A 13,226-nucleotide genomic window follows, 5' to 3' on the forward strand; every position below is an offset into this window, starting at 1 on the left:
ATGTGAATCTTTTCTCATTTTTTTTTTAAAAATTATTTCCTTCTTTTATAAAAAATACATTTGTTCATGATTTCTTAACAAAACAATAGTAGAAAATACAAAGAAAGAAATAACAAATCACCACAAATCTTACCACACTGAATTATGCAGCAATGATGCTTGATGAACATTATTGCGGCTCTCTCTGCAGCTAGGGGAATGATTGTTGCAGAACAGAATGTAAATATTATAAACCTTGACAAAGGAGGAGAAGTAGATCAGTAGATACTGAGAAATAATTTTATATCAATGGATCATAGTATGCATGCTATTTTCAAAATAGTTAAGTATTTAATTTTACTGTAATTGAATTGGATAAATAAATTTCTAAAAGTAGGATTCATTTCACAAAGGATATCAGTACCCATAATATCATTTAAAAATGAAAAATAAATATACAACATTAAGATCATGATATGTTAAAATTATCTGTTTCAGTTTTAAAGTACACCAATTGACCATCTTCTATAAATGACTTTGTAATTTCATTGCTTACATTATTTTACTACACTGAGTTACATTATATATAGATGCATAGATATATGTATAATACTTATGCAGATATATACATATAAATGTTATATATATATAAAACATTTATATCTTGGTGTGCAATAAAAATTTTCCCAGGGGTTTAGTCTCAAGAACTTTTTTTTAACTTTAAAATATCTAGTCTTTTCTTGCTTTGTGTTTTTTGTATTTCTTGTTTTGACTGTTTTTGCTTAGCAATGTTTAATCACCTAGTTTATATCCAAAAGGGCTCTAAGGCGCCCCTGGGCATATTCTTATGTAAGCATATCTGCTATTATCTTTATTTTTAAAAGACAATTTGGCTTGATAATTCTTCCTTTCCCTTAAACTTTCCTTCCTTCAGAACACCCTAAGTACTGCACCATTGTCTCAAGATGTGCAAAATTGTAGTGAGGGAATCTGAGCTTTTCCCCAGACCTCTACTCCCGTCTAACGTATATTTCTTGTGTCTACTTGCTTTTTCTTTCCAGATTTTTTTTTTGCTAAGAATGTGGGATGGTGGCACATAATAGCTGTGATTGTGTTTGTGTGTGTGGAGGGGTGTGGGGTGATGAGGTGAGTATATTGAAAAAAATATATAGGATTTATTGTGGACAAGGAGTATTATTCTGGCTTCAGAGGTTATCTGTGAATTCATAGCAATGATACGGTTTTGAGGGTTTCTTTTTCTTTTAGAGAGAGGAGGAGGAAGAGTGTTTAATTTTTTTAAAAAACTGAATGAAGTCGAGGTTAGTCAAGAGTCCTATCCTTTGACTTTCTTCCACCTAGAACCTTATTTTTCTTTGATCTATGAGACTGAAAATAATAAGTCCCTGTAAACTTAGCTCTAAACAAGAAACTTGTAGCCATATCATTGAGTCACATGAAGAGACAGTTTTTCTGGGGATCTCTTCCATTTCAGCATTGGAGTAATATTCACGCCTAATCTTTTCACATTTCTTCTGTTGTAATAGGAAAGTTTCTCTTGTTAAAAAAATAAATAAATAAAACTAAATGTTAATGATGTAAATGCAATTTATTTTATTTTAGCCAATACATTGTTGTTGTTGTTTTATCCACATGTATTACCATGGTACAACCACAAGATATGATGAGATCATTGGCCCAGCAGCAAGTCTTCAGTTAGGTACACCTGTCCATGTGATGAATTAGAACATGCTTTTCCACCTATAAACTACAACTTAATTTGCATAACTTAATATAAGTAGTATTAATGTAAGTGTTATACATATTTCAGGTTATAATTTTGATTACAATTTGAAGACATAAATACAATTGGTTTAGTTATAAAATTACACTACTTACTTGCTACTTTATAACTGCTCACTACCTCCTTAGTGGAACCCAGATTTTCTCTATGATTTGAGAAAAATTACTCCACATGTTACCTAGTTATCAAACTATATTGGGAAGCAGAAAAAGCTATGAAAGGCTTCAAAGCTTCTGAGAACCTTAGCACGAAAAACTCTTCCAAAAAGCTTTTTTCACTTTTCAATAGTTCCTCTTTACATCACATTTATAATCACTCACCAGCAATCTCTTTTCCATGCTTGATTTGTGAGGCTTATTGAAAACAATGGCATTGACGTTCATTCTGACTCCTTGATTTCCATTGTTTTCAGGAGTTTTCATCTATGAGCAGCAGCAGAAAGAGAAAAAGTTAGATTCTTAGATTCCATGATTTTATATTTCCCACCAAGGTACAAGTATTTCTACTTTTCTACCTGATTGTCTCTACTTTCCTCCATGTGTATTTCTTTTCTTTTCTTTTCTTTTTCAGACGGAGTCTCGCTCCGTCGCCCAGGCTGGAGTGCAGTGGTGCGATCTCGGCTCACTGCATGCAACCTCTGCCTCCCAGGTTCAAATGATTCTCCTGCTTCAGCCTCCTGAGTAGCTGGGATTACAGATGTGTGCCACCATGACTGGCTAATTTTTGAATTTTTAGTAGAGACAGGTTTTCTCCATGTTGGCCAGGCGGGTCTTGAACTCCTGACCTCAAATCTGCCAGCTTCAGCCTCCCAAAGTGCTGGGATTACAGGCATGAGCCACTGCGCATTTCTTCTGCCATTCTGACAGCTCCTCAATACTGGTTATTTGTAGTTGGTACATAAATGTTTCAAATACTTTCTGGCTCCCTTATAAACATTACAACCTGGTTCATTTCTAAGAAACCACAGTCCTTTTTCAATGGCTGTTGAACTTTTCTGATGCACCTCTGAGTAGGTCCACACAGCAGATTCATATACTAGAACTGCATTGTACCAGAGGAACTCTTCTCATCCAGGGAGAAAACAACAATTACATTTTCTTGTTGCAAATTACAAAATATTACATTCTAATCCTACAATTCCATTTCAATGGAAGAATCAGATATATGCATAAAGAGGCAGGTGCAAGGATATTCATTTTAGGGATATTTAGAAAACTGGAAAAAATTTGAATGTCTAACAATAAAAAAGTTCAACAAATGATGACAAACCATGTCATGGGATATAAAATTTCATATTGTAGTCATATTACAGAACTGTTAAATACATGGTAACGTTTATAACAATTTGCTAAGCAAACAAAGTAATGTGATCACATTTTTGTAAAAGATACAGTCACACCTAGCAGTGCTTCCTCGGCTCTGATTAGGCAACATTGCCTAGAGAAATAAAATATTCTATTGAGGGCTTTCTTTTGAACAGTGGACATCCTCTTTACTCACTAACAGGGACCTTATTAAGAGAAGCAACTTAGATTATTACTCAAATAAGTTCTCCTTCAAGCTTTCTGCTTACAAAAAAAAAGCTATCAAGTTATCCCAATTATAACCCAATGATACACATACTCATTTTATGTAGAGTCCAGAAATGTTTTGAAGCTGGAGTTGAAGACAGTTCAGTTCAAGGCCTTACTTTTACGGACAATGAACCTGAATTCCAGAAGTAGGAAGCTTTTATGACAGAGGAGGCTGGCGGAAGAATCAGTGCCTGAATCAGGGTCTGCTGTTGCTGGTGCCTCGCCACATATCCAAGTTTTTATCTTTTTATTCTTTATGCATGGTCAAATGTGGCCAAACCTAATGTCTTCTCTGGTTTCTGGCAAGAAAGCACTATGAACTATCACCAGTTTTAGCAACGGGGACCTTTTGTTCTGTAGTAATATACATAAAAAATTAAGATTGAGCAAGCAGATAAACCTTTTGTGTGCATAATTAATAACTCACACTTGAATTTCTGTATCTCATTAGAGGTAGTTGTCTCACCTTTAACTAGAGAAGACAAGCTTTATTTTTGTAGCGCTTTGCCCTATTATGTTCAACAATAATAATTCACGGTGACAGATGTAATCCACCAAACTCATTATTTTCAACCCCGATCCATTTATTTTGCATTACCAATACAGTGTTGATGCCTATCATTCCCTGAACTGGAGTGCCTGCTGAAATGTTTTATTGCGATATGTCAGAGTTTAAATAATAGCAGGAATGAGGCTGAAGCCTTCCAAAGTTGCTGTGTGTATTATAAAAACGTATGTAATGCACCCTGTACTCACAAGAACAGGTCTTAGGAGGTGTGGTTTTGATTAGCCAATTACATTTGGGAGAAGAATGGACTCTATCTCTTAGAGAGGGCCACATCTCTTCATATATGTATATATGTGTGTGTATATGTGTATATATGTGTGTATGTCTATGTATATGCGTGTATATGTATATATACACATATGTATTCGGGTTTTTAATATATATGTGTCTGTGTACTTATGTGTATATGTACAAATTATATATAAATTTATATATATATATATATAAATAAAACCACAATAAGGTACCATCTTACAGCAGTCACAGTGGTTATTACTGAAAAGTCAAAAACAACAGATGTTGGTGAGGATGTGGAGAAAAGGAAAGGCTTATACATTGTTGGAGGGAATGCAAATTAGTTCAACCTCTATGGAAAAAAGTATGGAGATTTCTCAAAGAACTAAAAATAGAACTACCATTAAATCTGGCAATCCCACTCCTGGGCATACACCCAAAGGAAAATAAGTCATTACATCAAAAAGATACTTGCTCTTGTATGTTTATTGCAGCACTATTCACAATAGCAAAGATATGGAATCAACCTATGTATATACATATATGTGTGTGTATATATATACACACACACGTGCACACATATATACATAGACACACATACATACATACACACATACATATACACACACATACACACACACACACACACACACACACACACACACACACAATACATCAAAGAGAAAAGAAAACAGGATTGGAACTTTTTTTCTTTTGAGGAGCTAAATTTCCCAAAATCTGCTGTGAAAAATCTCACTCATAATTTAACATATTGTGCTATAAAACTGTTTTCTTTCTCTTCTTGATTTATATTCTGCCAAATCCTGGGGCGGGACAGGAGGATATTGTCCTCTGATAGGCAGTATAGGACTATGTGACTTCCTTTGACTTTAAAGGAATCGCAGGGAAGTTTGAATGGCAACTATTCAACCTTGAAGGGAGAGAAACTAAATGAAACACCTGTTTCTCTGATTACTGTGCCACAAGGCCTTTTAATTAGTTTGTGGAACTAGAAGTTTTAGTTATTGAAGCATATGGTTATTTCCCTCCAAGAGAGTGGACACGTGACTACACACCATTAATTTGTGATTATTATTAAACTAAGAATGCAATTTAAAAGATTGTGTACTAATAGATATATTTTCTAGACTAGAAAGAGCTGCAGAATAAAGTAGGAGAAAAATCCATATAAAATGTCAATCTTTTTTTTATATCAGCACCAGTGATTGACTATTTCCATAATGGTGTTCAGAAGATGTATTTACACACGTGGGAACTTCAGTTGGATATGCTGAATTAAAATGTTGATAATTATTTTATGGATATTAATTATTTTAATTTCATGTAATACCTTTTCCTCAAAGATTTAGAGAGCAATATATCAGTGTAGGAAACAAAGGCTGGAAAAAATAGGTATGGCTAAGTTGACCATAACCTTAAAACATTTTCTCCATGTTGTTTTTATCATGTGGTAGAGATTTCTCTCCAATATGTTCAAGTACTTGAATGTAGAAACTTGGAAAATTCTGCTGGACTGTTAGGAACTCCTTCCACTTAGCTAGATATCATCCTAAATTCATCTTAAGACATCATCTCCTCAAAGTCATTGTAAAGGAAAGAGAAACATTTGGCTTTCTGATAGGTTTTTAGACACCTCTGCACAGAGTTTTGAGAAGGATGTCTCGGTTGGGAGCATTTAGGGTATCAAACTCTTACACCTCGTAGGTATTAATTAAAATAGGGAAACTTTCATTTTAGATGTGAGATGCGTAAGATATCAGTAACTTTGTGATCATGTCTTATACTATGGTATTTTCCCCATGTAACTCCTCGCTTTTTGCAGAACGGTTATTCAATCAGTATGTGAGCTTTGAGTTGCTCTCTGGGAAAAGCAATTGAATTATTGCTTAGTACTGACTGAAATAAGCATGGGCAACATGGTGAGAGTGTAATCATTTAAGTGCAAAAATGATCCCAAACCATACAACAGCTTTGCTATTAATAAAAATCATGAGAAACTACAAATAAACTACAAGTGTTCATAGTGGCAGAAATGACTCAACTGTTGTGAAATTTTAATTTCTCTCACTGTTTATGCCTAAATATGAAACATACCTGACAACAGCATGAGACAGAACACGTCTTCTCATTTTTCCAGATAATTTACACCATGAGTTTGGCCAAAAGCACTGATTACAAAATACGACTGCAATTGGATAGCATAGCAAAATGGATTTCCACACCTATGGCATAAGGCTTGGTTTGTTTTGATTAAAGACATAATTGTGATCCAATTTCATAATGTTGATCACAATTTCATCACCTGTGCCTGGAAGGAGAGGAAAATATATGAGGGGTATAGCAAAGTGCAAACTCATTAAAAATTGTCTGCAAGAAATTACGATTGTTACATTTAAAGCAAAGGTGTGGTATTGTGTTTAATTAAACAAAGTTTGTAAAGTGTTTTGTGAACTTTGCTTGGATTGTGCAAACTTGAACAAGGCACTTTATACAAACTTATGTTAATGGAATATTTTGAGAACATATAATTTGAGGAGCAGATAGATAAATTACTATCAAAAATAACTTGCATAATTTTGTGATTAGCAAGAGATCTTACACCAAGAAGGTGAAGTATAGTGTGCTTGTTCAATTCTTTTTTTTTTAATTTTTCTCAAAGATAATATTTTAAGTTTGTAGTGGGGAGTAAGTTTTTTGTTGTTGTCATTTTGTTTCTTTTGAGATGGAGTCTCACTCTGTCACCTAGGTTGGAGTGCAGTAGCATGATCTCGGCTCACTGCAACCTCTGCCTCCCAGGTTCAAGTGATCCTCCCACCTCAGCCTTCTGTATAGCTGGGACTACAGGTGTGTGCCACCAGGCCTGGCTAATTTTTTGTATTTTTGGTAGAGACTGGGTTTCGCCATGTTGCCCAGGCTGGTATCTAACTCCTGAGCTGAGATGATTCACCTGCCTTGGCCTCCCAAAGTGCTGGGATTACAGGCTTGAGCCACTGCGCCTGGCCTTGTTCAATTCTTGAGTGGCAAAATCAACAGGTTTGTTCAGAAGATGTTTACAAAAATGTCAAAAAGTTATTGTAACAGTTTTCTTTGGCTACAAAATAGATGCTTAGAAGATAATTAATAACTCAGTGGCAAGTTTTTTTTTTAATTTTTCATGATGTGATTACACCTAGGTCTATTGTCAGTTAACTATTTAAAAGTGAATAAAGGAAGATGAATCCTAGGACAACATTGTCAAACTTCAGCAAACTGCCATCCTTCTCAACCTCTTCACTCACAGTCTAAGTGGAGCTCTATCTGATGCTAACGCTTTGGTAGAGTAAGCTACATTCTCCGTCAATGTCAATCAAATATTTGGCTTGAAAAATATTTTAAGGACCTGAAAATCAACTGCATTTGTTGGTAAACACTTTTTAGCAGAATCTCCACCTAAGTTTGGATTAGGGTTTGTCTTTCAAGTTGTGCCTGGGCCTGTTTTTTAAAAACATAATTCAGTTCATCAGTTCTATGGGAAAATGTATTCTTTTTTGATCATTGTCTAGAGTAATTCATTTTGAGTAGATATAGATAAATTCTGAAAAATAAAAATTACAAATTTAACTTAGAAATTTAGAGTTTTATATTTAACATAAATATTTTAACAGAAACTTTACATTAAAGATTTTAAATTACTGAAGTTAATTCTCAATATTTGCATGTGTCACAAGGATGTGTCTCATATCACAAGTCTTGGAGAGGGAGAGGGAAAGAGGATCATCAGTCATGGTGTCCAGGGAGAAGCTAGCAGTGGTGAGAGGAAGAGCTAAGCGAAATGAACATACAGTGTGTTTCTGCCCCTCACACAGACATGTGCAAGAGACCTGGGGGATGTGCATTTGAGATGCAAGGAGCAATGGGACACGAAGTCTAACACATGGAACCCACTGTCTTGTTGGCAGGGATGATAAATGCCAATGGGTAACAATATTCTATGATTCAAGACCTAATGAAGAATTTGAAAGTGATAAATACAGTTAGTAAATTACTCTAGTTTAGAGTTGGAAGGTCAGAGAAGATTTCTTTTAGAAGGTCGAATTTGAGTTGGTCTTTAAAGATGAATCAATTGCACAGGTTGGAGAGAGAATCTTTATGCACAAAGATGCAACTGCAGAAAAGAGGGCAAACATAAGTAGGTTAGACTAGAATAATTATACCCGTGAGCTTCAGAGCAAATGGCAGCTTATGGAACACTTTCACATGCAATAGCTCATATAACTCTTTAAGCAACCCTGTGAAACAGGCAGGGCAGTTGTTATTGCACAATTTACAGATGTGCAAACTGTGGTTCTGCAGAGCTGCTACAAACACTAGAGTTGGATCTCAAACACACGTGCTTGACCTTTTTTTGCTTTCTGGTTTACTGCAATGGGCAAGTCATAGGGTGAGGAGTGCTATGGTAAGATTAGGTTAAATGGGAAGAGAGAGTCAGCAGAGTTTCTGACTATGCCCAAATTTGTACAAAAATAAGAAGAAATGGTGTTTTTTTTTTTGAAAAAAAGAAAAAGTCTGAATAATAAAATGATCCATGAATTTATGGTGAGGACTAGTAAAAAAGTAAACTTCATTTAACAATTATATTTAAGCTAAGCTAGGATGAAGATGCACAAGAAATATTTAAAAAAGTAAGACAAACATGGCAAAAACAAAATCAACAAAAGAAAAATAAAAACAAGAACTGAAAGACTTATCAAGGCATAGCCGAGAGGTCTATGTGGTTTGTACTTCCCAGCCATTACAGTCTCTGCGGATTGTGGCTTACCTGTTGTAATTCAGGGATCTCCATTTATTATGAAGCACAGCACCTATGTACAATTTACCAGGGACACATGTGACCTTGATAACTATAAAGCATAAGGCCATCTTTTCAGTATGTCAACAAATAGATCATTTAAGCAGAGTGGCATAGTTTTTTGAGGCCAGTTTGCCCACCAACATTAGTTTGCCTAACTCAGAATAACATACAGAGAGGCAAGAGTTTGAAATGAATGAAAATATATTCAATCCATAATCAAATGAAAAAGTTTTGGGAATGGTGCCAGAAAGCCTTCCTGAATTAGACTTTCTTCAGCACCTAAATTTAGCCACCTGGCATTCTATTTTAAGAATCATTCAGATTTTTGAAATGAAGGATTTGCCTTTTAATGAAGACACCCTCATTTCATTAAAAATATGGAACACATTGTCCTTGACTTTGAATGTGTTAAATTCCATGTGATGAAAGAGGTGACATCATTAGCCACATACTTCATAACCAGCGGTGAAAAAAGAAATTTTCAACTTAAAAAGGTATTATGTTATAAGTATCAGTAATTATTGCAACAAAAGTTATTGATTAGAAAAATGCCCAACTTCGTTTTCAAGGGCTAAAGAATTTAAAAATGTGAACAGTATACCACAGAAAGTTTCTTAAATTGTTGCTTATTATGGAAAGAAGTCTGACACTCTTAAAGGACATAGTATTCTTGCATTTTAATACCATAATGATTATAAAGTATACTTTTAGCAGCATTCACTATTAATTACAGAATATGATGGTATTACACACACACACACACACACACACACACACACACACACACACATATATATATAGAGAGAGAGAGAGATGGAGTCTTGCCCTGTCACTCAGGCTGGAGTGCAGTGGTGCAATCTCAGCTCACTGCAGCCTCCGCCTCCCCAGTTTAAGTGATTCTCCTGCTTCAGCCTCTTGAGTAGCTGAGACTACAGGCATGCTCCACCACACCAACTTTTGTACTTTTAGGAGAGATAGGGTTTCACCATGTTGGCCATATTGATCTTGAACTCCTGACCTCAAGTGATCCTCCTGCCTTGGCCTCCCAAAGTGCTGGGATTACAGGTGTGAGCCACTGTGTCCAGCCATATTACAAATATTTTTAAAGCTGAGATATTTTAAATTCAGTTCCATGAATAGTTGTCATTAAAATTTCTTCAGGAATATTGTTCTATGTCATAGAGCCCTCATTTATTTAACAGCTAGTATTATTAGGTTATCATATGTTAGATATTGTTGTAGGTGTCGAGGCTGTAATCATGAATAGAGGAATGTAATATCCGTTCTAATGAAGCTAACTGTCTAGTGGGAATAATAGTGAAATAAAGCAGCAGTTAACAGAGTGCAGGGATTAGGTTCTTGGAATAACATGCCTGGAAGGTGAATCCACAAGAATATATGCTTCAGATGTAATTATTTTTAAGCATACTGCAATGAATTGCTCTGTTTTTTAATGTGAATTAGAGTTTTGTTGCATCAATTTTAAGGGTGTCTAGTATTTGCCAAACACCTTATTAAGTTCTTTACCTTCATTAATCAATTTAATTCACACCAATGGCTGCTTGAGGTAGATGGCATTACTCACATTTTGAGAGACTAAAGCTCAGAGGGGTAAAACAACTGTCCCCTAGCCACACTTTGATAGTGATTTCACAGAGCCTGTGATCTTTACATTGTGTTCCATATGCTTCCCAAGTCACAATTTTACCATGTTGTGGAATAAATGTGTTCTATTGACTTATCAAAATTCTAGATGACAAATTTCATTGTAAAGATCATGTATTAAAAATAATGTGATTTGCTTTTAAAAAGCCTTAAGCCAAGTGGGTTAGTTATTTATTGCTATATAATAAATTATCCCAAAATTTAGTGGCTTAAAACCTCAAATTTTTATTGTCTACTTTAGTTTCAGATGTCAGGAATCTGTGAGCAGCTTAGCTCTGTGGTTCTGGGTCAGGGGTTCTCAAGTGGCTGCAGTCAAGATGTCAGCTGGGGCTGCTGTCTCATGTGAAGGCTTGACTGGGCTGGAGGATGCACTCCCAAGCACCCTCATGTGGCTGTTGACTGGAGGCTTTGGCGCCTCAGTACGTGGCCCTCTGGAATTGCTGCTCAGGTCATGGCAGCTAACTTCCCTACCAGCCAGTGATCAGAGAATGTGTGACTAGATGGAAGCTACAATGTCTTTTATAACCAAACCCAGACAAAACTGGGCCTGGGTCTTTATAAGTCTGTTCTCATGCTGCTATGAAGAAATACCCGAGACTGTGTAATTTATAAAGAAAACAGGTTTAAATGATTCACAGTTCTGCATGGCTGGGGAGGCCTCAGGAAACTTATAATCATGGTGGAAGGCACCTCTTCATAGGGCAGCAGGAAAGAGAATGAGTGCAGAGCAAAGGGGAAAAAAATCCCTTATGAAACCATCAGATCTCATGAAAACTCACTCACCATCACAAGAACAGCTATGGGGGAACGACCCTCACGATCTAATCACCTCCCACGAGGTCCCATCCCCAACATGTGGAGATTACTTTTGGATTACAATTCAAGATGAGATTTTGGGTGGGAACACAAAGCCTAACCATATCAGAGTCTAATCAGGATAGAGGAAAAATACAGCAACTTCAACAGGACAACAGAGCAAGACTCCGTCTAAAAAAAAAGCACGGCACATAAGATTCAGTTGTATAATGATTCTTTGTGATGATTAAATGATGAATGAATATGGGAAATTAATATGGAGGCAAAGCCACAGACCATTATGTAGAGTTAATAAAAAGGAAAACCCAGTATGATCTTTAATCATTTTTAAACTATCATGTTGCATCTATATTTTCAATATCTTTCAAAAAACAGTTAACCTAAAGTATGAGTTATTATTATATTTTGGAAGAGTCAGAGTTTCTTTTGAGAATAGCATAAGAACTTTGACAACTTTTCCCCCCAAAATGCACATATGTGCAAACATATGCATTTAATTTCAAGCAATTCATGTATCTCCTGAAGCCATAAGCAGAGTTTATGTATGTGCTTCAATATACCATGGACTTCAAGGTAAACATTATTAACTAAATATGAAGAGGGGGCATTTATAATAATACCAATTTCTTACTGCTATTATTGATTAAAAGATAATGTTTTTCAATGCCAAGATGTGCTAGACTGCAACAAATTCTCTACAATAAACTTTAGTCCCCATATGGAGTAAATGATATTAAGCTGGACAATAGATGGGCAAATACTTTATATTTTGTTGGGTGTCTTCTTTAAGGTACATTCTATGCCACACCAAAACACTCCTCCTATCCCACCATACACACTTATTTATTAATTATCCAGTTTATTCACCAAATGTAGAAATTAGGCTGGACAGATTAAGTCAAACTTCTTTAGAGATTTTGTGCAATAATGGGGTCAAAGATTTCTATAATGACAGTCTACTTTCCTCTGGGCACAACTTGTCTGACGACGAGAAAAACTAAAAAGAATGAAATAAAAAGCAAAGAAGTTTCAGATTCACTAATAATAGTGTTGGCTTTTGAGTGAAAATTAGCTCTGGAAAGAAAGTGCAACATAAAGCAAGACAAGCCAGGGCAGAATTTTGCACATTCCAGTGAAAGTTTTCAGGCAATTCTATCCATGGATATACCCTTAAAGGATGTGACCCAGGTGAGACTTACCTGCTGAAGGCAACTAATCCACAATGAGCAAATTATCCTGCCCTGGAGGGTAAGCTACAATATCGGTCCCATGCTTCAGGAAGAGAAAATCATGTGTTCCTAGAAGAGAAGGAAACCAGGGGCTAGCAGAGGCTTGCCTAGAAATGGAATTGAAATATAAACTGAGAAGTTTCAGTTGATTTAGAATAACAGGGTGTTCCAATTAGCTTACAAAATGTTTCTGACAGGCAATAGAATCGAATAAGGGAACAGCAGTGGCATCACACAAAAAGGAATTTAACAAATGCTGGCACTTTCATATCCCCTAGGGAGATGAATGATGATGAACTTCAAAAGTTGGAACTGATTTGAGTCCAATATGGCTGGAATAGCTTAAAAAGTAAAGTATAACAGCCTCCTAGTAGAAAATATTTCTTCTTCATTCCCCTAATCACTTTCTCCTTTTCACAAATGTGTGCATTTGCAAACATGGAGGTGCCCCCCACTCCATTCACAAACTACAGAAACTTACAGAAACTGAACAATGCAGATTGAAACT

The 13,226-nt window shown here is 35.7% G+C and overlaps 1 long non-coding RNA gene across 1 annotated transcript; it reads right to left on the reverse strand.

Annotated features, from left to right (window-relative positions):
- Positions 1-116: 116 nt before the first annotated feature.
- Positions 117-12,786, reverse strand: LOC105376400 (uncharacterized). The gene is made up of 3 exons (XR_001747277.2): positions 12,689-12,786; positions 2,101-2,202; positions 117-234 (listed from the first exon to the last, which is right to left on the reverse strand). It is a non-coding gene; the product is annotated as an uncharacterized LOC105376400 (long non-coding RNA).
- Between the last annotated feature and the right edge of the window lie 440 nt (positions 12,787-13,226).

This window comes from Homo sapiens, chromosome 10 (genome assembly GCF_000001405.40).
Source record: "Homo sapiens chromosome 10, GRCh38.p14 Primary Assembly".
Classification (NCBI taxonomy): Eukaryota; Metazoa; Chordata; class Mammalia; order Primates; family Hominidae; genus Homo; species Homo sapiens.